This window comes from Homo sapiens, chromosome 11 (genome assembly GCF_000001405.40).
Source record: "Homo sapiens chromosome 11, GRCh38.p14 Primary Assembly".
NCBI lineage: Eukaryota > Metazoa > Chordata > Mammalia > Primates > Hominidae > Homo > Homo sapiens.
The window spans coordinates 122,116,315-122,143,469 of NC_000011.10; the positions used below are offsets into that span (position 1 = coordinate 122,116,315).

At 37.6% G+C, this 27,155-nt stretch overlaps 1 long non-coding RNA gene across 14 annotated transcripts in view; it reads right to left on the minus strand.

The window, feature by feature from the left end:
• MIR100HG (mir-100-let-7a-2-mir-125b-1 cluster host gene) overlaps positions 1–27,155 on the minus strand; it is a 394,543-nt gene that overhangs the window by 87,986 nt on the left and 279,402 nt on the right. The gene's annotated exons all lie outside the window — the stretch shown is intronic.

Genomic DNA, 27,155 nt, shown 5'->3' on the forward strand with positions numbered 1-27,155 from the left:
ATGTACTGCCTAAAAGTAGGAAAGATCTCCACGTTGATTTCTGAATTGTAAAAGGCAGGGATATGTTTTGGACTTCTTGTCCCTTACTGTGAACAGACCTAAGAGTACTTACTTTATTTTTTAGAAAGAACCCGGAGCTGCTGATGTCTGAGGGAGTCGTTTCAACAGAGACTAGAATATCGAGAGAGAAAATTGATCCAGCTCTCTTGTCTGGTGCTTATAAAACATGAAAGTATCACCCTCGCCATGGCAGACCACAGGGAATGATCAGTGTGAATTGTTAAGTCCTCTTCTCAGTGATGCTTGCAAGCAATTTCCCTGGGGAAGCAACAAGTTCCTGACCACAGTGTTGTACACAAATAAATAAACAAAATGCTATTACTTTTTGTTCTTCACATTGGGAAAAGTTCAGAAACATCTTGTTTCAATTGATGGGCTGGAATTACAGAAACATTTTAATTTTGTCTTTCCTTGCTAGTTCTGTGCCTGAGATGTATTGGTAAAATGGAACATGAGTCATATTTCTAATTGGGAAAAGCCTGGTAATCATGGGCAACCCAGATCTGGGTGACTTACAGAGTATTTTTGTGTTGAGAGAGAAAAGACACTAAAAGTAGAAGTTTCTTACTTAGCAGCAGCAGAGAGGCTATAAGATTGAATCTGGTGTTTCACATGGCCTGTATCATGGTATAATGAGAAGGAATGTGTCTTGCACAAATTAGCCTATAGACCTTTCTAATCAGGACCAATATGTGACATATACAAAGGCAAGATCAGCTGTAAGGAAGGATTCACTCCTTTACCACCAAGCCATGGAGACTGCTTGAGTCATCATGGCCTTGGTCTCTTGATTTCCCTTATGTTATTTGAGTAGAAACTCAGGCACCAATGATGCCCCCAGTTAACCATAACCATAATGGTAGCATCCAATACCATTTTTAAAAAAGTCAGGGTTGTAGACAAAAGACTGATGTAGACCAGTGGAGAAGACAAGAGGGAGTTATGCAGCCTACTCTGAGAGCAAAGTCTGGTTTGGATCTTCTCTGCTACTTTTGTACATTTCATGCTAGAGGCAGAACAAGTATCCAGGGAACACTTTGGAACTTTCCTAAATTTACAGAGGGGCCTGTAACATTCAATTAGGGGGAACACAGAATGTTCTACTCTAGCAAAATTTATAGGTAGTATAAGAAATTCCATCAAGTGTCTTGTGGAAAACTGAATGCATAAAAGTAAGGATGTGGATAATGGGATCATTCAATATAGATTTCAAACCAAAGTCCGCTGCTTAATAACTCTGAACTTGGGCAGAGTACTTAACCTTACTGAACATCAGATTCTTTATTTGTAAAATGGGGACCATAATATCTTCTTTGCTCAATTATTTGGGGGATTAATGAGGGAAGGAATATAAATTATCACAAGATCTGGTATATAGTAAGAACTTTGCAATGTTTTTTTCCTCTCTTTATTGATGAATGCTTTCCAGATTTCTATTTGGCCTCTTCTCTTTGAGTTTATAGAATACTAATTTTCTGTACTTTGTGGCAAATCTATTCAATTTAACAGTTTTTAAAATTTATTATAATGTGAGACATGGAATATGAAGAATAAATAATGCATACCATTTTTATAAAAGAGACTCATAATCTACTGAGAAAGCTAGAAACATGCTGGGTCACTATACATTAGACAAGGTTAAGTGGAATAATTTGGTTATTTAAACATTTGGGAGAAGGGGTGATCTAATTATATACCAGGCACCATACAAGGTGGCAAAGACCCAAAGATGTATAAGATGCAATTATTGAACTCCAGGGCCCTTAATTTTTTTTCTTTTTCTTTTTTTTTTCTTCTTCTGGTTTTTTTTGTTTGTTTTGTTTTGTTTTGTTTTGTTTTTTATACAAGAGTCTTGCTCTTGTTACCCAGGCTGGAGGTCAGTGGCGCAACCTCAGCTCACTGCAACCTCTGCTTCCCGGGTTCAAGTGATTCTCCTGCCTCAGCCTCCTGAGTAGCTGGGATTACAGGCACCCGCCACCATGCCCAGCTAATTTGTGTATTTTTAGTAGAGACAAGGTTTTACCATGTTGGCCAGGCTGGTCTTGAACTCCTGATCTCAGGTGATCCACCTGCCACGGCCTCCCAAAGTGCAAGGATTACAAGTGTGAGCCACCACGCCCAGCCTAGGCCCTTAATTTAGTACAGGAAGAGACATGTGAACAAACTTCAACAGAAGATGGAGAGAACAAATGATACTGAGTAAAGAAGTAACTCGAAGGACAAGAAATCACTTTTGTTGGTAGTGTCAGGGAAGGTTTCACAGAGGAGAAAATATCTAGGCTAGATATACAAAAATAACTAGGTTAGTAACTTAGATAAAATGGACAAATTCACTGAAAAATACAACCTACTAAAACTGACACAGATATAACAGAAAACCTAAATAGCACTATATTTATTAGGGTAATTCAATTCATTATCTAGACCTTTCCACACAGAAAATTTTAGCTTCAAATGGTATCACTGGTGATTTGAATCAAAATATTCAAGTACAAAATGACACTAGTCTTATAAAATTCTTCAAAAAATAGAGGAACAGGGAATTCTTGACAACTTATTTTTTTTTTATCAAATCAGGCAAAAAAGTTACATAACAATTATAAACCAATATTCTGCATAAGCATAGAGGCAAAAATCCTTAACAAGATTTTAATCAAATCTAACAACATACAAAAAATACATCCTGGCCGGGTGCAGTGGCTCACGCCTGTAATCCCAGCACTTTGGGAGGCCAGGGTGGGCAGATCACAAGCTCAGGAGTTCGAGACCAGCCTGGCCAACATGGTGAAACCCCATCTCTACTAAAAATACAAAAATTAGCCGGGCATGGTGGCGCATGCCTGTAGTCCCAGCTACTCGGGAGGCTGAGGCAGTAGAATTGCTTGAACCCGGGAAGCAGAGGTTGCAGTGAGCTGAGATCACACCACTGCACTCCAGCCTGGGCGACAGATCAAGACTCTGTCTCAATAAAAAATAAAAAAGAAAAAAGAAATACAGCCTGACCAACTAGGGTTTATTCCAGGAATGTAATTTTGGTTTGATATTCAAAAATCAATCAACATACTTGATATTATCAATAAAATAAATGAGAAAACGTATATCATTATTTCAATACATGAAGAAAAACTTTGATAAAATTCAACATCTATTGATGATTTATAAATAAAAAACCCACCTCTCAGCGTATCAGGAACAGAGAGGAATTTTCTCAATCTGATAAAGAACATTCTACAAAAAAATATATTGTTATCTTCATACTTAATGGTGAACTATAATATAATTTTCCCCTAAGATTGAGAACCAAGCAAAGACACCTGCTCTTACCACTTCTATTCAGCATTGCTCTGGCTATCTTAGTCATTGTAACGAAGCAAAAAAAAAAAAAAAAAAAAAAGAGAAAAGCATAAATAGAAAAAGAAGTAAAACTGCCTCTATTTGTAAGCAGCATAATTGTTCATGTAACCAGAACATCTTAAGGGAATCTACATAACAATGACTAGAGCTACTAACTGCATTTAGTAAAATACCAAAATACAGGATTAATACACACAAGTCAATTATATTTTTAAATACTAACAGCAAATAAAGGGAAATAAAATTTAAAAATCCACTTATTAAAAAACATAAAACACTCAGAAATAAATTTTCAAAAATATTAATGTAGTGAGTTGCATTGGGTCCCCCAAAAGATATGTCTACCTGGAACTTAGAATGTGATCTTTTTTTGGGAATAAAATGTTTTTGCACATGTAATTAAGGTAAAGGTCTTATCTTGAATAAGGATGGGCCCTAAATCTAATGACACTGTTCGTATAGGAGACAGAAAAGGAGACACTGAAACGCAGAAGAAGAAGATCATGTGAGCATGTGAAGCGAGAGGCAAAGATTGTAGTGATGTGCCTACAAGCTGAGGAATGTCAAGGATTGCTGACAACACCCGAAGTTAGGAGAGAGGCACGGAATAGATTCTCCCTCAGAGCTTCCAGAAAGAATCAGCCCAGCCCACACTTTGATTTCGGACTTTTGGCTTCTTAAACTAAGGAATAAATTTCTGTTGTTTTTAAACAACCCATATTGTAGTAATTTGTTACAATAGCCCTAAGGAACTAATAAAATGTATAAGACCTTTGCAGTGAAAATGTCAAACTGTTGCTGGGGGAAGTTTTAAAAGGTCTGAAGAAATGCAGAGATATACCAGGCTCATAGACTGAAAGACTCCAGTATTATTAAGATGTTAATTCTTCTCACATTGGGCCATAAATTCAAAGCAATCCCAATCAAAATTTCAGCATATATTTTTGCTGTTGTTGAAGAAATGGACAAGTTAATTCTAAAATTTGCATGGAAACACAGTTTCCAGAATTTTCAAAGTAATTCAAAAAGAATGGAGGATTTATACTACTTTATTGCAAGATTCACTATATAGGCACAATAACAAAGACAGCGTGGTGTTAAAGAGAGAATAGACAAGCAGATCAATGGAACAGAAAAGAGTCGAAAATAGACCCACACTTACGTGGTCAATGGATTTTTTTTTTTGGACAAAAATGCCAAGGAAACTCAATGGGGGTGGAGGGAAGTCATTTCAACAAATGGTGTTAGAACAATTAAATGACTATATAGAAAAGAATTAATCCTGATCCTTACCTGATACCATACACAAAAATTAACTCAAGTTAATAATGAACATTGATGTAAAAGCTAAAGTTCTAAATCCTTTAGAGAAAAACATAGAAGAAAATCTTCACAACTTTGAGGATAGGCAAAGATAACAAAGATAAGATACCAAAACAAAGAACTATAAGAAAAAAATGGTAAATTGGACTTGCTGAAAATTTAAAACTTTTGCCCTTTGAAAGTCACTACTAAGAAAAAATACACAACAGGAATTGAGAGAAAATATTTGTAATACATACAATATGACAGACATATTTTGTATATATAAAGGTCTCTTAAAACTCAATAATAAGATAAATAGCATACTAAAAAAGAAAAAGATTCAGACAAACACTTCACAGAAGAAGATCTACAAATGGTCAATACATACATAAAAAGATCCTCAAAATCATTAGCCATCAGGGAAATGAAAATTAAAGTCACAATGAGAAATGACTACACACCTATTCCAATGACTAAGATAGAATAGACTGACAACTGAAAGTTGAAGATACTGGAACTCACATATGATCTTATGGGAACATAAAATGGTAAACAATTTTGGACAACTGGCAGTTCCTTACAAAATTAAATATACATGTAACACATGACCCAATAATCTCCTAGAGTTTACTAAAGAGAAATGAAAATATATGTACACAGAAAGACTTGTACACAAATGTTGATAGCTTATCAAAAAACTGGAAACAACCCAATGTCCACCAACTGGTGAATGGATAAACAAACCACGATATATCCACACTACAATGAAATATTACTCAGCGATAAAAAGGAACAAACTACTTACACATGCAACAACATGGATGAGTCTCAAAACTGGTATTCTGAATGAAAGAAACCAGACACAAAAGAGTACATACTGTTTCACTCCATTTATACAGAACTATAGAAAATGCATACAAATGTATGGAGACAAAAATCAGATCAGTGCTTACCTAGGGCCAGAGCTGGAGGGAGAGATGGACTGCAAAGGATCTCAAGGACACTTTTGGAGATGATGAAGATGGTCTGTGTTTTGAATGGTGGTGGTCTTACGGATGTAAGCCCTGTTAAAACTCATCAACTGTATACTTTAAATAAATGCAGTTTTTTGCATATGAATTATATCAGACCTCACATGAGCTTTATAATTTCTCCATCTTCCACTGTACACTAGCAAATAACTCTTCATGACAATCCAGAGAGGGATCTGGATTGTTTTTTAATTTATGTTAGTAAACAAATTTGTATATTCTAGATTAGGGATGAGCAATCTACATCCTTGAGTAAAATCCAGCCTGCTCTGTGTTTTATTGGAATACAGTCATGCTCATTTGTTTACTCTTCTCTATCGTTGCTTTGTTCACTGTGATAGCCAAGTTGAGTAGTTGCAACAGAGAACATATGGCCCGCAAAGCCTGAAAGATTTACTCTTTGGCCCATCACAGATAAAGTTTGGTGGCCCTTATTATAGATAATAAAAAGTTAGATGTGTACATGGTAATATTTGCATCAATGTTATGTCAGAAAAAGGAGAATCTGCTTACAAGAATGAGTAAGAATGGCACATTGGACTTAAAAAAAATCCATGTCCATCAATATGAATCAACAACAAAAAAATGAAAAGAGAAAGAATCAAATATATTTAGCCTTTGGGTCCTGAAACCACCTTGTATTAATCAACGCTGTTATAGCCAAAAGCTTTAGAGAGACTAAGGTGGAACTTTTTAAAAAGAGCAAGGAAATACCTTATGAATTCAGCCAAAAATGTCTTGCTGAATTTCCCTTTCTCGGTCATGAAATAAATGGAATCAACTGTCATTTCTATTCACGAGGCAAAACCTGTATCTCAGTTTGGTGAATAGTTACTTATCAAACTATGCTCAATGCCCAATTTCCTTCAAATATAATAAAATCGCCTCAGTTAAGGGTGGGGAGGGGACAATGTGTGATAGTGGAAAGAGATATGTCTTTGGGGAAAAAAAGCTCAGCGCTGGATCCTGGCACTACCATTATGAATAATTGTGTGATGTTGGGCAAGCTGCTCAAAACCATGGCTTCCTCATCTGTAAAATGGAAATAACATTTCCTCATTTATGGGGTTGTTGGGAAGTTTAAATGTGGAATGAAACAAAACCCCAAACACAAAGTAGCCAATCCATAAATAGCATGTCTCCCCTTCCCCATCACCATTGCAATGGCAATCTTATTATTTAAGATGAATTTCATCTCAACATCCCAAGGTGATATTGACTGTTACTGCTCTAGAAAGTATTTTTAAGGTGTTTATTTGGGGGAAGAGACTGATTAATTTCTAAATTTGGCTTTAATTCAATTTTTACATAAATATATCATCTTTGTCTCTTCCTAGAGAAGCATGTTGTGCTTCTACGTGTTGTGAAATACCTGCTATGTTTTCCTAATAACTCTATATCCCCTATACTGATTATGCAAGCATTTGCAAAAGTAATTTAAAAACCATTTGCTTGGGAGGAAAAAAAGCTTTCTCAAAAGTTTTTTTCTTTTTGTGGTGTTATCAGAATCCTTTTTAAAATTGAGTGCTCTCATCTTTCTTGAAACAATTTTTCTAAGATAAGAGAAAGACTTTTCAAATACTGCAAGTCACTTCATAATTTTATGGAAGAAATTGCGCAATGAACTTAGAAATATTAGGTTCAGTTTCAGCATGCCCCTTAGGTAGGATCAATGATGAGCAAATCTTTGTATCTGTGTTCTTGTCTCACTGAGGAGCAGAATTTGTCTTTGGACCTCTCTGTGGCTATGAAAATCCGAAAGCCCTAGAGCCACTTGTGCCAGCAAACAGCATAACATCTCCCATCCCTAAGAGTGATTTTCAGCTTTGCTTGTTAATATATCCACATTTATCACCTGCCTTTAGAATTTGGAAACCTATCTACTTGCTTAGACTTGTTCCTCTCTTGTAAATTACTCCTCTGTAGGGGCACTTTAATTTGCTGCCACCAAACCCCTCTTGCTTAATTAAACTACAAGTCTTGTTCCTTCTAAACAGCCCTGGCCTGTTGTTATCCATATCCCAGCATGACATTGAGCCCTTGGTCCTTCCTGGGTTCTAGTTTAACCATGTATGAAATGGGAATGTTGTGTTCTTGGGCGCTCTGCACAAATGTACTAAAGACAATAAAAGGAGATACAAACACTATTCTAATTTTCCAGAAGAACAGATTTTCTTATTGCTGACATTACTAAAGGTAATCTGAATGGTGGCTTTAATCAACCATTTCTTTTTTAAATTAATTTTATTTTAAGTTCAGGGATACATGTGCAGGACATGCAGGTTTGTTAGAGGTAAACATGGGTTGCTGCACATATCAACCCATCACCTAGATATTAAGCCCCACATGTATTAGCTATTTACCCTGATGCTCACCCTCCCCCTGCCCCCCCACCGCCCTGACAGGCCCCATTGTGTGTTGCTCCCCTCCCTGTGTCCATGTGTTCTTACTGTTCGGCTCCCACTTATAAATAACATGCAGTGTTTGGTTTTCCGTTCCTGTGTTAGTTTGCTGAGAATAATGGCTTCAAGCTCCAGCCATGTCCTTGCAGAGGACATAATCTTGTTCCTTTTTATGGCTACATAGTATTTCATGTGTATATGTACCACACTTTCTTTATCCAGTCTATCATTGATGGGCATTTGGGTTGATTCCATGTCTTTGCTATTGTGAATAGTGCTGCAGTGAACATATGCGTGCATGTATCTATAATAGAATGATTTATATTTCTTTGGGTGTATGACCAGTAATGAGATTGCTGGGTCAAATGATATTTCTGGTTCTAGGTCTTTGAGAAATCACTACACTGTCTTCCACAATGGTTGAACTAATTTACATTCCCACCAACAGTGTAAAAGCATTCCTATTTCTCCACAGCCTTATTAGCATCTGTTGTTTCTTGACTTTTTAATAATCGCCATTCTGACTGGCATGAGATGGTATCTCATTGTGGTTTTGATTTCCATTTATCTAATGATCAGTGATGTTGAGATTTTTTTCACGTGTTTCTTGGCCACATAAATGTCTTCTTTTGAGAAGCATCTGTGCTCATCCTTTGCCCACTTTTTAATGGGGTTGTAATCAAACCATTTCTATAATATTTCAAAATAGTCAATCTAGAAGTTATCATAATTTTTAAATCTTACTATATTTTCTTTAAAATAGCAAGTGGCATGGAGAAAGGAGAGTATCTATATGAACATACCCAGAAGAATCTAAAAATAGAAAAGAAAGAAAAAAAAGCTACATATTGCTGGACACATGAAAAGCCCACCTGACTACTGATAAGGACTCACAAGTAACCATCAAGAAGCTTAACACAAAACCGGAAGCAGTGAGCCAATCATGGCATGTCTTAATCTTTCAGTAATAAAAGTTGCGATTTTCAAAGTGACTCTTTCTCTTTTCTGTCTCTATCCAGAGTGGTGTGCCTAGCCTCCTCTGAAGTGCTTGGCTCTCCTGAGCACCATGCTGGGACTTACTGGGGATAGCACTTTTCAGAAGCACTGAATACAACAGTATTCCCAGTTAGTGAAATGAAAACAATTTGTCTCTGGTTTAAGAAAGTGGCCTGCTGTGAAATTAACAAAATATTGTATGTGTTTGTGTATATTTTGAATAAGGCACTCAAGATTGGTGTAGAATGTCTTTATTTTCATAACGTCATGTTAAGCTAATTTTGTTTTTGAGACAGGGTCTCACTCTGTTGCCCAGGCTGAAGTACAGTGGCATGAACACAGATCACTGTAGCCTCGACCTCTTAGGCTTAAGTGATCCTCTTGTCTCAGCCCCCCAGGTAGCTGAGACTTTAGGCATGTGCCACCATGCCTGGCTAATTCTTTATATTTTTTTGTAGAAATGGAAGTCTCACTATGTTTTCCAGAATGGTCTCAAACTCCTGGGCTCAAGCGATCCTCCCACCTCAGACTCCCAAAGCACTGGGATTATAAGCATGAGCCACCATGCCCAGCCCTAAATTATTATCTTATCAGATTGATTATAGAAAAGTCTCCACTTTTCAGATATGAGACTTTGCTTTGTATCCCTAAATTAATTTGTGACCTAATCTACAATAGTGTAAATAGAGCAACATGGCAACATGCCCTCCCTTACCCAGAGGTCAGTGTTTCTTCAACCTCAACTTCCCAGAGTCCAGCCTAGAATGCAGAAGTGAGCAAATGAAACACTTTAAACACTCGAAGTAGCATCTGAGAGTTTCCACCATACAGTGACGACTTTCTCTTTATAGCCCCACTCAGAATTGGAAACTGACTCATTTCATTTACAATTTATGACAATCTTGGTTAACTTTTTCCCCTGGCCCAAAGATGTTTTGGAGTAACAAACTACAAGTGAATTGGGAGAGCAGCTGGGAGCAGGCACAAGAAGAGCAGAAAAAAGCAACTGCCAACAGCTCAATACAAAATACAGACTGAAAGGCAAAAAGCAGACAAAGACTTTTGAGAGCGTAGAATTCAACAATGGCAGTTCATAACAGTGACCTGTAGCCACCCAGTGCATTAGGCGCAGAAAATTTGTATAGAGACTGAAAAGGCAGAAGTTGTTGTGATGCCTGGGTAGGTAAGCTCTTGTTTTTATAAAAATTTACTTATATGGGGATTTCATTCCTTAATAAAATAGGATAGCTGAGGCACTGCTAATGTAATTGAAGAGGGGCTCATTTCAGCACTTTTATTTGGTCATTTTTACATTATTTTCTGTTGAGTTCTTGCATAAAGGGTCTATGTGCCCAGAGAGGGCAGGCTCATGTGGGTTTTGCCCATGCGTCTATACTTTGCATAAACACAATGAGGTGCTTAATGAATGTCTGGTGATGATGATGATCAAGAGCTTAATAACAGGGTCTTCTCTAAAGGCTGATTAATGGGGCTTCAAGTTAATATCTTTTCATTCTCTCCTTGCACTCATATTTTTGGTGTGTGTATGGGAGTGTGGGGTAGAAGGACTATAAACTGAGTATCCATTGGAAAAAATGTAGAAAGGCTATCCTATTTAAAGAGTAGATAGCTTTTACAAAATAATTGCTGGTGGTGAAATAAGATGTCCAAAATTGTATTCCTATGACACATTCCATTATTTGGACATATCTTATTTAGCCAAACTCCATTTCCAAGATTGTATAATCATACTTGCTATTTACAACATCTGAAATGGATCTGCAAAGTTAAGTGATCTTTGGTTCAATCAATGAATTATCTTGCAATAGACCTATGTGCTAGAAAACCAAGTGGTGCTGACAGCTACTGTGATCCTACAGTTCTGCCATGCCACACACAGGCCATTTAATTTTCTACTTGAATATAGCAGGTGGTAACTCTTCAGTCACCCGCTCTCATCTACCAGTTAGTTTAACTCTTTTTTTTTTTTTTTTTTTTTGAAACGGAGTCTCGCTCTGTCGCCCAGGCTGGAGTGCAGTGGCGCGATCTCGGCTCACTGCCAGCTCCGCCTCCCGGGTTCACGCCTTTCTCCTGCCTCAGCCTCCCGAGTACCTGGGACTACAGGCGCCCGCCGCCATGCTTGGCTAATTTTTTGTAATTTTTTTTTTAGTAGAGATGGGGTTTCACCGTGTTAGCCAGGATGGTCTTGATCTCCTGACCTCGTGATCCACCCGCCTGGGCCTCCCAAAGTGCTGGGATTACAGGCGTGAGCCACTGCGCCTGGCCCAGTTAGTTTAACTCTTATTACCATTAAGTCAAGCATAAAAACAATAAAACTAACCCTGCCCTAAACAGGATCCACTCACCAGTTTCCTTGTTGCCATCCACTGTGCCATCATTTTTCCAGATTTAATGTGCGGGAAGTCATCTTAGATCTGCCCCTCCCGCAGCCTCCTCAAATCCATTTTTAGTGACAACGTTCTATAGCTCTTCTGAGTCACATGTGTCTTTTATCTCTCCACTTTTCACTATTGTCTTTGTCTAAGCTCTTAGGCTTCTTACCTCTTGGATAACTTCAGCAGCTTCCTGACTAGCTTCCCCCTCTCTGGTTACTTCCTTCTCCAGTCCACCTAGAATTTCATTAACAGGATAATTTTCTTTAAAATCTGCTTTCAATTTATCATGCCCTAAGCCCAAAATCTTCACTGGAAACTTATATCATTTCATATTTATGAGTCCATAAATATGAGAAAAACTCCGTAAGCAGGAAAACATTATAGACTTGCCATCGTCACAGTAACGACTCTTCCTGGATGTGACATAATGTGACCCATCTTCCCCGAAGTATAACCTGATTTGAAGCTGCTGACCAACATGCCACATTGGGCCCTGGTTAGGTCAGGCTTATCACTGTCAGCGAGCACATCCTATTCTTCCTGCACCACTCTTCCCTCCAGGGGCTGAATAAAAGTACAGGCAGGAGTTTTTTATATTGTGAAATGACCAGACCTACATGGTTTTCCCAAGAGCTCTGTTCTTGACCCCCTGTCTTGTTTATTTTATTAAAGCCTTGGATGAAAATAGATTACATTCTTATCAAATTTGCAGATATTGAAAATGGGAGGGAAACAAAAGCTATGCCAGATGACAAGATCAAAGCTCAAAGAGAACTCCAACAAGAGGTCAAAATGAAGAGCACCAAATGTGACATAAATAAATACATTTTGAATGTTAGATTCAAAGCTCCAACTGAACTGGGTGGGGGAAGACTCCGTACAATTATTATTCTAAAAAAATTCTCAGGAGAGAAGGTCAGGATAAGGGTGAGAGGGCATGGCTTATTTACAAGGAAAAGATGAACAAAGTCAAGTGTTTTGCTTCCAAAATGGCCAATGCACACTTAGGCTTAGTTAATAGACTTACATTGGCTAAAAGAAGGGAGGGGCTAGCTACATGGTGTTCTTCACTGATGGGACAGCTCAAGAATATTTTCAATTCTGGTTTCTGTGTCAGTTGACAAATACATGGAGAATTATGAAGGATCTAGAAATCATACATATAGTATAGACATAGATTTATAAAGAAATACATATATAGATTTATAAAGAAATACATATAATGTATAGATTTATAAAGAAATACATATAATGTATAGATTTATTCATGTTTAACCTGAAAGAAGTGACATCAACAAAGGATGCAATGTCAGTGTTTTGAAGGACTATCTGAGTAGATTTCCTCCCTGCAGCTAAGGAGGTAGGAACTAAACCCATGGGTGAAAGTTTGGAGGAGGTAAACTTTGGCTCAATAAAAAATATTATTTTCTATCCATGAGAGACATAAAGCAGTGGAATAAGATGTCTTGAGAAATTAACTTCTTATGACTAGAAGCTTTCAAGTATAGACTGAGTGACATCATCACAGAAATTTTTTTGGCATTCTTGGAGTGCAGAAAGTTAGACTAGATAACCTGAAGACTATCTTCCTTTCATCTCTAAGGTGTAATATTAGTCCCCACACCTGTAAAGCCCTCTCCTCTCCCATCTCTACACAACACTTATCATATTTGCTTTCCACTGACAGACATCTCTGGCTTTCTCACCAGACTGGGAACTCTTTGAAGGTAGAGATTCTATTTTTTATCTATATATCCCTGGCTTCTAGCATGATTCCTTAAGGAGCTGAGGTACTCAATATATTTCACTGAATTAACTGAATTATGAAGTTCTACTAAAAAAATTCTATCTTCCCTTCAATGTCCAGCACAAATTTCCACTTTCCACAGAAAGCCTTCCCTGATCACTCCTACAGGATATATTCTGTGTCAGACAATTTGCCACATGTAATTTTCTGTTTCTTTCTGGTATGATGTTGTTTACTATGTGCCATTTCTATTATCCCAACTAGATGATCAGTTCCCAATGAACAAAAGAATACCCATTCATGATCTCATGGAGGTAGAGAGTACAATGACGGTTAACAGAGGCTGAGAAGGACAGTGGGGAGAAGGAATAAAGAGGGGTTCATTAATTAGTACAAAATACAATTAGATAGAAGAAATAAGATCTAGTACTCAATAGCATAATAGGTTGACTATAGTTAACAATAATTTATTATATACTTCAAAGTAACTAGAAGAGTAGACTTGGAATGTTCCCAACACAAAGAAATGATATATATTTGAGGCGATGGATATCCTATTACCCAGATCTGATCAGTGATACACATTGCATGCTTGCACCAAAATATTATATGCACCCCACAAATATGTACAACCATTATGTATCCATAAGCATAAAAAATAAAATAAAATAAATACCATTTTAACATTATGCCTTATTGCTGTGCTCAGCACAGAACTGGCTACTGATAATGTGCTTACTGATTGATTGAAAGGTAATATTGTGGAAGGTTTTGGTGTTAAATAATCATATTCCACTTATTAATTACAAAGAGAAAAATGGTAACTTTATAGTGGAGAAAAGTGAGAGATAGAACCTTAACCAAGTAATCAAAATTTACATCACCTAGGAGACAACATCTTGCCATAATCGACCCTGAGAAGATGCACTGAAAAGGGCACATCATTGCTTGGGTGGTGTTTCTGCCAAAAATGAATAATCTCCATCTAATCACAAGGAAACATCAGACTAAACCCAAACTGAGGGACAGTCTGCAGATATCTGACCAGTAGTAAGCCAGAGAAAAGCTGAGACACTGTCACAGATTGAGACTGGGCAAATGTGACACTACATGCAAAGTGGGATCTTGGATTGGATCCTGGACCTGAAAAAGGGCATCTATGGGAAAGGTTGAGAAATTCTAATGAGGTCTGTAGATTAGTCAGTAGTAGTATAACCATGTTAACTTCCTGGCTTGGATACTATGGTTATGAAGATGTTAACTTTAGGGGAAGCTAGATGAAGGCTCTATGAGAACACTGCATTATTTTTGCACCTTGTCTATAAGTGTAAAATTACTTCAGAATAAAACGTTAAATAAGATTTATGAGTTTGGTTTTCAACTTGATTGAGGATCCAAACAACGAAGGCAGCTACCGTGAACCAAAATGAATAAGGTGCACTCCATTCTTGTTATTCGCGATAGCTGTGTTCTACATGGTTGCTGCAAATAGCGAATTAACAAATACTAAAGCATTGCCCCTAGGGGAAATACAGGGTTCGTTTCCTAAAAGCCTCTGGCCACATTTTTGTCAACTGATCAATACACAACATTGTTTTATGTGTGTTTCTGTTTAAAGACATCTTATTTAATATGTATTGTTGATTCATTAACAATGAACTCATAGCTAAAAGCCCTGTAACTCATGCCGGAATGAAGTTTATTAGCCACATATTTTCCTCATCAGGCACATCACAACCTTCTTATGCTTAGGAACTCTAGCCAGCACTTCAACATTACACTTGGGAGTCATTTTAAACAGCAAAATCATCAACAGAAAGCATACAAATGCAAATAACAGTGGCATCAGGTGACACAAATTTTTCACCACTCTGCACATGTCCATAAATGATTACAGAAGTTCTGCAAGTATTAATTTGGGGATTTCAAATACATTTTAGTGAGTGGGCTAACTCACAATATGGAATCTATGGATAATGAGGATTGACTGTACCTATAAACACATGCAATGATTGTGAACTTCTTGGCTGTCACCTTGAGTCAATAAGAAAATAAGTATAATGATATTTGCATTTGAAATGATAAAAGGAATTCTTGAAAGATTAGCAACTTAGTAAGTAACTTAGTTCTATTTCACTTTATGGTCTTTTCCCCCATCCTGACTACACTGAGGATTTCTCTAGTATCCTGGCTTCATCAATGCTAGTGATATTTGTCTCCTTTCCATTTTAGTCATCGGTATACACAGCCACAACCTGAACTTCAGTGTCAGTATCCCCAACTGCTTCACCTTCAGGAAATCCCTTCCTAATTACCACATATCCCACTATGCACTTCTATTGAATCTATTCAACTCCTACTTATGGCCTAAAAACAAAAACTCCTACTTATTCCCCCAGCCAATCACTCTCTTCTAGCTGTGCTTTATTTAGTCAGCAATACTTGGGAAGTTACTTTGATGATGCTTTCACTAGCACCCCACAATCTACTATCTTTTGATCTTTTACAAGTTTTTATCTTGCAAACTATGATCGCGGTAATCAGTTTGGTTTTTTTGTGTCCATTGCTGGTCTGCCAACTATTTCTGCAAAAATTCACAAACACATATTGTTTAAATGCAAAATAAATTAATTTACCTAATCAACTTTCAACAAGTCTTCATTGTTCTTATTCTTATTGATCTACTTGAAATCCAATTGCACAGACAGGATCTGCCAAATATTCCCTCCTTTCTACACACACTGCCAACACTCTATTTCAGACTGATACATAGATCACCTGAGCCTATAAGTTCCTAACTAGTCTCTCCACATCCTGTCCTGTCCACTTTATAAGCTAATTAATCATCTAAAGTAGACAGTTAATCAACCTACATGCTCCCCATAGCTACCTGGCAAAAGTTCAAACACCTTTACATGGCATTCAAATTCTTCTATGAACTGACTTCAGATTACTTGTAAAGCCTTTTCTTCTACTAAACCTATTTGCAAACTATGTCTCAGCCCAAATAGACTCTTTGCATTCTCAAGGACGTCTTATTTCTCTCTAATCAAGTCCCTTGTCTGCACTTTTCTCTTTATGTGGAATATTTTGCCCCCCTCATCTCTGTCCATCAAAATTTTACCTGTTCTTCAAGCCCCAGTTCAAAGTACATTTCTCCATGAAGCCTACTCTGATTTTACAACTGGAAATAGTCTCTTCCTTGGATTCGCCACAGCACTTTGGAACTGCAATTAACGCATTTGTATTTGTAATTATTTTATTCTTCACACTACATTTCAAGATCGTTGAGAGCAGAAAATACCATTTCAATCTTGCATTTACCATAGCACCTAGCATAAATGCTCAGTAAAGTACTATTTAATACATGAATGAATGAATAAATGTGCCTCTCATATGCTTAATATGTATGTAATACATAATGTATAGATATATGCACATATACATGTAACCTCTGTATAACAGTTAAAATTGAACAAGGTCCAACACATTGTCAATGGACCATATTATTGGTAGATTAAAACTGTAAGTAGACATAGGAAAAAAGAGAAAACAAGAGTGGTAAATTAAGAATTATTTGACAGGCCAAAATAAAATCGACTGAGAAAACTTATGTGTGATTAACTATTATAACATTAACTTTTTAGGCAGGGTTGTATTGAAATCTTCCCAGATATAGAAATTTATGTACTTTATTCCTAGGAACCCAAAATAAAACATAAGAATAAACATATCCAATGAATCAAATTGAATAGACATTGCTAGACACAGTTAATACTATAATTGCACATCACTTAACTTGAAGGACTTTTCAATTATGATTAAATGAAAAAAAAGTAACTCATTCTTTATTCTCTATTTCATTTGCACAGTGAATACTAACAAAATAAATTGCCATCATTACCATCACTATCAACATCATCATAAAATGTATTTCTTAGTTAAAAAAAAAACTTCAAAAACTGTACTAAGAGATGTAGCTCTGTAGGAAGGTACAACTGTAGAAGTTTAGTAACATCAAAGCAAAGCAATTTATCAATTTCATGACTATGATGGTTTTATTTACATCTAATGAACAATATAGAAAAGGGTACATCAAGGCCCAGCCATTTAACAAGGGACATTTCTCCCCAGTAAGTTTTGTTTTGTTGCAGGAAAATTGAATGTGATTACTCTAAAATTTAAAAAAAAAATTAGGTAATGAAAATAAGTCAGTTCTGTACTGATAAGCATTAAAATATTTCTTCCTGAGGTATTTTCTATATACTTATGGTTTAATGAACCCTTTAATTTCTGGTGATTCCCAACATGCTAAGGTAACTTTTCAAAAGCTAAGCCTCAACTGCAGCCTAGTGTCATTGGCTGTTGAACGTGTTTCAGATTGGATCATGTGCACTGAAGCAACAGCAGAACTGAAAGGTGAAAATTCTGTAGATGCTAAAAGAAACCTCTATGGAACTTACACGAAGGGTATAAAGGAGACCTGAGATTAACATTTCCTAAATCATAGACTTGTGAAAAATTGCTTGCCAAAAGAAAACTTTGTATAAGTGAACAGACACTTATTGAGCACCTATTTGAGTCAACCTGGGAATAAAAAGATGGTTAACATGGTGTCTATCCAATCAAACAATTCAAAAAACTATACAAAATAGACATATATAACATTGAGTATCATATACTATGATATGTTAGTTGTTTAAATAAAGTATTCTGTGAAAACAAAAGAAAGAGCTGTCTAAGGGAGGGGAGAAGGAAACAGAGAAAAAGGCTAGTCTTTGACCTAGGCTTCAGAGGACACAAACAGCCCAAACAACATATCCTCAACCTTGAGTGTAGCCTTCAATAGAAATCCAAGTTTTAGGATAATTCCAAAGCATGATATATGAAAGTGATTGAGATTAAAGATATATCATAAATATCTGAAGTGATGAGTATGCTAATTAGCCTGATTTGACCATTCCACATGTATAGGTGTCAAAACATTCCATTGTATTCCAAAAGTATATACAACTATTTGTCAATTTAAAATAAAATAAAACTTAGAAAAGATAAATCCCAGGTAGAATGTGTGATGAGACACTGAATGAAGTTAACAAAATGAATTATGTTTATTGGGATGGTATTCTCGCTTAATAAACCTTAAGACTCTGCAAGATAAGGAATATATTATTGAGTGTGGTGGCTCACGTCTGTAATCTAAGCACTTTGGGAGGCAAAGGTGAGAGGACTGCTTGAGCCTAAGAATTCAAGATCAGCCTGGGCAACAAAATGAGACTCTATCTCTCCAAAAAAAAAAAAAGAAGAAAATTAGCGGGGAGTGGTGGTGCACACCTGTAGTCCCAGCTACCTGGGAGGCTGAGGTGGGAGGATCCACTGAGCCTGAGAGTTGGAGGCTGCAGTGAGCCCTGACCACACCACTGCACTCCAGCCTGGGAAACAGAATGAAATGTGGTCTCAAAAAATAAAAATAAAAAAGGAATATATACTACAGTCCATATTGAATTTATTGTCAGAAGTGCCCCTGAGAGATGTCATCATCTGATACAGAAGAAGTTGAGAGTGACTTACTGGGGCTTTTAGCATTTACAGGTGACTCTTCAACATGGGTTTGAACTTCATGAGTCCACTTATAAGCAGATTTCCTTCTGTCTCTGCCACCCCTGAGACAGCAAGACCAACCCCTCCTCTTCCTCTCCCTCCTCAGCCTACTCAATGTGAAGATGACAAGAACGAAGACTTTTATGATGACCCACTTCCACTTAATGAATAGTAAATATATTGTCTCTTCTTCATGATTTTTTAAAAACATTTTCTCATCTGTAGCTTACCTTATTGTGAGAATCTAGTATATAATACAGATAACATACAAAATATATGTTAATCAACTGTTTATGTTATTGGTAAAGCTTCCAGTCAACAGTGGGCTATTAGTAGTTATGTTATACTTGGATTTTCCACTGTGTGCGGGTTGGTGCCCCGAACTCCTGAGTTGTTCAAGGGTTGGCTGTACTATACAGAGAGAGTAGAAAAATGATCACCTTTTAAGAAATGCTTTAGCTTAAGGATAAGCAACATAATCAATCGTGCCATGAGCTATGGGCTGCCAGAAAGTAATGCGTTATATTTAGAAGGCTTTCTCCTCAGTACTCAAATAGAAGAGATTTCCAAATTATAAATCAGGATTCTGGAAGCAGAGAGCGCGATGGCTGGGCCAAGCCTCAGATAGAATTCCTTGCTACCATCATTTTCATCAGAACAGACCAGCATCCAGACACCTCCTCTGAAAATAAAGAGTGGCCTGAAGTTTATCCTATATTACCTTAGAAACACAATCTACAGACAATATGGATTATCTATACCTTCTTAATAGGTATAATTTAGCTACATTCTTTTAACCACTGTATGCAAGTGTTGGGCAAGTAATCAGCTGAGAAGCCCTAAGCCCTCTGGAAGCAAGACTTTTTGACTGTCCCTATATTTACTTGTAAGAGGCCCAAAGCCAGGTATGAAGGAGATTCAATTACAGAAAAATTTAAATCAATGGCCACAATAAAAACAGCTTTGATTTTTGGTCCCAGATAGGCCATTTGAAGTATTACCTGATGGGGAAAACCTAAAATGCTTGTACAACATAGAGGGTAAAAAAGAGTTCTTAAAAAACTTGTCTTTGAGGGTGGGAGTGGGGGTGAAAGATAATAGACTACACATTGGGTACAGTGTACACTGCTCAGGTGACAGGTGCACCAGGATCTCAGAAATCACCACTAAAGAACTTATCCTTGTAACCAAAAACCACCTGTTCCCCCAAAACTATCGAAATTTTTTAAAAGAGTTGTCTTTGCTAACAGTCCTGGGGAAGCAATTTTTTATTAAAATATTGACATTCCTCCCAATGCTTCATTTGTCTAGATAAATGTAGCCCATGGCACAAAAATACGTTCTTAGGCTGGGCACAGTGGCTCATGCCTGTAATCCCAGCACTTTGGGAGGCCAAGGCAGACGGATCACTTGAGGTCAAGAGTTCGAGACCAGCCTGGCCAAAATGGTGGAACTCCATTTCTACTAAAAATATAAAAAATTAACTAGGCGTGGTGGTGGGCGCCTGTAGTCCCAGCTACTCAGGAAGCTGAGGCAACAGAATTGCTTGAACCTGGGGGCGGAGGTTGCAGTGAGCCAAGATCGTGCCACTGCACTGGGCAAAAGAACAAGAGTCTGTCTCAAAACAAACAAACAACACCAAAAGTACATTCTTAATAAAGTAGAAATGCACGGTGATTATGCTTTACTTATCATGCTGGCATTTTTCTAGCAATTTTTATTTTTCTATCATTCCCAACATTTTTAATTTTCCATGTATCTGGGATAGAATGTGGAATTAAAATAAAAATTAAAACAAATCTCTGTCTAAGAGCTTTCTTGAAGTATGACAAAGGTTTAGGGACAAGCCGTTTGTAATTCGCTGATGGCAGGAAAACTAATTCACTACTGGAGAATTCTGACATCTAAAATCTACATACTGATATGCTGGAGGGGAATGAGAGAGAATGTCTATGATTTTAATTTACTTAACCTATTTAGAAAAAAAAAAGTCATTTGAGTCATCCTGGCTCACTTTCTTTAGCATTAGTCAGATTGCATTTCCTTAAGCCTGCGAGTGTGTTTCTATGTAAATAAACTATGTAGTTCACTTGGGGATAAAAGTCACAGTATTTAGAGATTATAAAGACCTATTAGATCATCCGGTCTGGCCCACAAGAGATAATCCCTAGATAGGGAACATAACTGTTGATCTTTGCCAAGAAGCCAAGAAGAAACAGTTGGTAAAAATATTTTCCATACTTTTTTTTTTTTCATTTTAACTTATCTAATAGTGCTTCAGTCACTTCCCAAGTGGACTAGTAAAATGATCATGAAACAGTTCAGCTTATCAGGGAGATGCAAAGTTTAACTTATCTGAATTGACAATGGTCCACCCTCCTCCATTTGTTAAAGAAATGCTCTTGTTTGCAAAATGTGAACAGTGAAGAATCTGCTCTTTGAACTAGCCAGGCAGTTTCCTTTCAGTTAAGAAAGTCAAAAGGCAAGTTGTACCTCACTGGTTTTCTTAACCTACTTTCACTAATTTCAGAGAAATTAGATATTAAAACAGGAATCTGTACAGAGTAGAAAATGAATGATACATTTACAATTTACTGCTTTACAAACCAAAGTATTTTCCATCTTTATTTTCTATATTACATAAAATATGAAATATTATTGAAACTTGAAGTATACAGAAGTTTGGCATTAGGGTAAAAGTCAAAGTGACTCGGCAATATGAACCTTAAGAAATAAGAATTTGCTTAAGAATTTCCAGAGTCAGTATGATAGTTGTATCATGAGAGATTATATTCCATTAGAAATGCTGTTAAAAAAACATAATGTGGCCCTTGACTTCTTAAAGTCTACATCCTAAAGGCCGGGTACGGTGGCTCACGCCTGTAATCCCAGCACTGTGGGAGGCCAAGGCAAGCAGATCACCTGAGGTCAGGAGTTCGAGACCAGCTGGGCCAACACGGCAAAAACCCATCTCTACTAAAAATACAAAAATTAGCTGGGCGTGGTGGCAGGTGCCTGTAATCCCAGCTACTTGGGAGACTGAGGCGGGAGAATTGCTTGAACCCGGGAGGTGGAGGTTGCAGTGAGCTGAGATTGCACCATTGCACTCCAGCCTGGGCTACAAGAGGAACACTCCGTCGCAAAATAAATAAATAAATAGTAAAGACACCTATTCTGGTCACTGTGTCATTTATTCCCTAGTTCTTAAATCCTGCTTTGATCACCCTACGTGTTTTCCCTACTGAGATTATATTCAGAAAATTGTCAATATTCCTGAAGAGGTGAAAGTCACACACACGTACAGAAATAGGAAAAACTAACGAATAGTAGGGGATGAGCTGGTAACGTTAAATTAAAAGTTAGAAAAACTGGATCTAAACATTTAAAGCAGAATTATTTCTTATCAGCTAAACACAAATCAACCTAACCCAGGAAGGAAATTTTCTATTTTTATTCAGTTAGAATTTCCAGAGTCGGTATGATAGTTGTATCATGAGAGATTATATTCCATTAGAAATGCTGTTAAAAAAAATAGTGTGGCCCTTGACTTCTTAAAGTCTACATCCTAAGTCAAGAGCTTATATTTATTTAAGCCTATAACAAATTTGAGGATTTCAGAACTCAGTGAGACTCTCCATGTGCACTGAGCATGCACTGTGAGCTAAGCCCTTTGCCAGGTTTTGCAAGAAATCATAAAGGCAGTATTAGATATGGTCTCTGCCCTTCCAGAGCTTACAGTATGAGAGGGAAGATAAATATCTACTCCTCCGACCCTCATCTCCCACACATGATGAAAAGTGAGTGACTAACTTCTGCTATCTCATTTACATTGACCTCAGATGGTGAATCAGAGTCTAGACAAGAAAATCACACATGTACATGGGGAAACTGAGGAAAGTTTAATGAAAGGATAATTTGTAAAGATTGGACAGAGTTAAGAGGGACCAAGAAGAGATGGTGAAGTGTCCCAGGACTAACAATAGCAGGAAGTCCTTACACCCAAAGGCCTGAAAGAGCAAGAAGAGGGAGTAGTTATCAGAGGCCAGAGAGAGAGCTGAAACTGCAAGAGATGGCCTCTCTCAGGAAGGAATAAAGCTAGGTCCTCTCTGTAGCCTACAGGAAGTGAGTCAGGGGCATTTAGTACCCTAACCTCTGTCTTCAGTACCCTAACCTCTCTCTTCACTTTCTCTCTAATCTCTCCCTGTTGACTTACTTGGGCCAAACACACTCAGAAGCCGGTGGGCAAAAGAGACTGTTGAGGCAATGCATGAAGGTGCGCCTCTGAGAGCGTAGAGCTAGATAGAAAACGGTAGAGAAAAGATCTGGCAAGGCAGGCAATGGCCAACAGAGCTGGATGAATTTAGAGCCACCCAAGCTTACAGGATAAATATATGCTATATCCAGAAGTAAACATTTGGATAGATCGGTTAAGAGTAATGCTTTATTTGCAACAGAACATTTTGGCACTTTCCCATTAGATAAGATCAGTCAATGTTAACATAAGCTTCCAACTTAAGCCACAGAACATAAATGGTGAACTCTAGTTTAACCAATATTCTGCCAAGTGAGGTCTATAATTTGTACTTTTATGTGTCAACTAATTATACAAGATAAATTTGGTTTTATAACACTGACCTTGAAGCATACAGGATTCAGAATAACTTATAAATCTTAGGAGATGTTAAATTGTATTTAAAACAGTTTTTTGTTGTTGTTGTTTTGTTTTTGTTTTTGAGATGGAGTTTTGCTCTTGTCACCCAGGCTGGAGTGCAATGGCATGATCTCGGCTCACTGCAACCTCCGCCTCCCAGGTTCAAGTGATTCTCCTGCCTCAGCCTCCGAAGTTTCAGTAGCTGGGATTACAGGTGCCCGCCACCACGCCTGGCTAATTTTTGTATTTTTAGTAGAGACGGGGTTTCACCATGTTGGCCAGGCTGGTCTCAAACTCCTGACCTCAGGTGATCCACCCACCTCAGCCTCCCAAAGTGCTGGGGTTACAGGCGTGAGCCACCGTGCCCAGCCAAAAGTTTTAGTTTTAAGCAGAATATATTCTTTATTTTAAAAACTGGTCATTTGTATATCTCATACATGGCAATTCTATTAAAAACTATATTGATTAACCAGAAAACTCTGCTTCTTGGTCATGGCAAATAATAAAAAGTTTACTTTCCATAAATTCATTTTGCACCTTTCTCTTCAGTCTTTGGGGGATATACTATCCTTTAATTATGCTTCATTCAATATGTGTTTTGCAGATTGGTTCCAGTATATCAGTAGCACTTCGTTACTCAATAATAAAAAGCTACAAATAGATTAAAAGACTCTCAAGCCCCTCGAGGATTTAGAACACACACCACGAATGTTCCATTTATGCTTTGAAGTTGCTTATTGGCAGCTGAGCAGGAGCAGTATGTTGCTCTAACACTGCAGGCTCACCATGGAGCATCATGCATCCCAATTTGGAATTCAAGTTATGACTTGAATCCTATACATTTTATTCAAATATAAAAATGGCAACCACAGAACACTTGAGGCCTTATTCATCAAACAGAATTCATCACTGAGTCATTCTGGAATTGCTGTCTTTCTTTCCTGGACTTGATGAACTTTGATACATGAAATTTGGCTGCCCTTGGTACAATTCAATCAACAATTAGAGCACTAGAATTGCAGTGATCAGCCTGGTTTGGAAACATGTCTAAAAGTTTTTGATTCAATGTAAAAGCTGAATGTGTGTCCCACTCCTCTTTCCCCACTCCCCTCATCAAAGCCCTCACAGTCATATGACAGCAGGACTTAGCAGTAATAAATAATGTATATCCCTCAAATGTTTCAAAGACTATATATAATATAAAAAGTGATAATTATTTGTGGGATCCGAACTGTGCAGATAACCCTGAAAATGGATTCCTGACCCAGAATTTTTTTTTTTAATCACAGCGAGAAAAGTCTTTAGCACTTGAAGAAATGGGACATCTTAATTTTAGCTTCTGATCACAGTTTATAAACTATAAAACAAATTTCTTTTTAAAGTCTTATAGGAACAAGAAGTGATCTTGACTAAGATTCCCCTGAGATAGCCTCGCAAGTGAACAGATAATAAGATCACAAAAATGTGTTTGCCTGTGATCTTTAGATGGCCACACACAGCACACAGTCTACTTTCAGGTAATTTTCAAGTAAAAATCTCAGTGTAATCATAATGTATTGATTTGTTTTGCCTTGGTTCCTTTTCACAAATATATTGATCCACATTCCTTCTACCTGAAGCACTCAGAAGAGAAAGGCAAGATGCACAAAGTAGGATAAGTCAGAAAGAGGTGGCTATGTTATCAAACATTTATTTGGATCACATTTTAGGAAATACCCCATAAAGTCTCTACTGTGCTTATTCAAAGAGTCCTCTTTCCCTGAATTTGTATCTTGAGAAGTTAAGTCTCATTTTCCCCTGCCAGAACTGGAACGATTTATTAAAGCAACAGAAAGAAAATGAAAAAGACAGAATCCATCTTCTAGACAAGGCTCAAGCCATATTAAACATGACGCTACGTGAATTTCTCCCCTCCTCCACCCTCCTTAATGCACCATATAGAGAGGCTCTCATGCTGTAAAGATGTCATATATACTTTCTCTTCACTCAAAGCTTCCTGAATAAAGAGAGATCTATTTGTCTCCATGGTGTTTTCGCCATTAACAGTATCAGAGCTGCAGGAACACAATGGGAGATGTGTTTTCCGTTAACCTCTTGACTCAGAGATGTCCTGATGCTAAACGTTATTGCATTTTGCATTAGCACAGAACAGTGGGAGTTCTGTGACTGATGTAAAAGGGTTGAGAAGGGCCACAGAAGCTCTCATGTGCTCCATACTGCAGTTGGCGGTGGAGCACGAAGCACATAATTTTTGTTCAGAAAGAGCACAAACGGGAACCAGGGAAGGAGGTGGTGAATCTGACACAGTCCCTCCTGTTCACCACTGAGATAATCTACACTGTAAAATGATATTCAGTGTCTGATCATAGACATTAACTTGGCAGAAACTAATTTACTTTTCTTTATTACCTTAGCCATCAGCAAACCACGGAACGAACAAGGGGATTAATATTTACTTTCTTCTCAGGCTACTTTTTCCATTGCCTTAATATGGCCTTCAGCGTTAGTAGTTTGATGTGGCAACCATTACTGAAAATGTTCCTTACTATTCTGCTCATGTCCCTTTGACAGTGCAGAGATAGAATTGGGGAAATACCCTTCCACGCTATAAGACAAGGAGGATATGTAGTCTAAGAAGTAAGAGTCGTCTGGGCGCGGTGGCTCATGCCTGTAATCCCAGCATTTTGGGAGGCCGAGGCGGGCGGATCAGGAGGTCAGGAGATTGAGACCATCCTGGCTAACACGGTGAAACCCCGTCTCTACTAAAAATACCAAAAATTAGCCGGGCATGGTGGCGGGCACCTGTAGTCCCAGCTACTCGGGAGACTGAGGCAGGAGAATGGCGCGAACCCGGGAGGCGAAGCTTGCAGTGAGCTGAGATCGCGTCGCTACACTCCAGCCTTGGACGACAGAGTGAGACTCCGTCTCAGAAAAAAAGAAAAAGAAAAAGAAAAAAAGAAGTAAGAGTCTACTCATGAAATCAAAGATTACTGAGTGACAATCCCAGAATTGCAGAATATTCATTATGGGTACCACAGAAACTATTGCGTTTCATTCCACGAGTTTACATATTTGAAGAGTGGAGGTCATAATGTTTAAATGATTTGACTATGGCAGAACCAGGTTGGGTACCAGCACTCATGTACTCATGTCCCCAGGTGAATTCTCTTTACATGCACGAGTCAAGCATGCTTCTGTTGAATGAATGACCATTGTACTAGGAAGATCTATAGGACCTTGCTCAATGTCACAATATCCCTATTTCTAAAATGTAACTTTTTTGTGTGCTGCATCAAAGGGTTCTGTATTAGTGAAGGGAACTAAAATATATTAAAAATATAGGCTGTGTGACCTACAATTAAAGGGGGAAACTTGATGTATTTATGTAAAGATGGGAAGCCATCCTCAGATTTCTTACCCTCAGCTTAAGTACTTGGACTTCTGGAGTAAAGAAGCATTTGATTATGTAAAACTTTGCTACCCTAGAGTGTGTTCCATGTATTAACAGCAGCATCTGCCCTGAAGGATTGGTTAGAAAGAATAGCAGTGGCCTACGTTGTTATTCTATTTGTAGTTGGAACTTATATTAAATATTTAGGAAATATATATTGC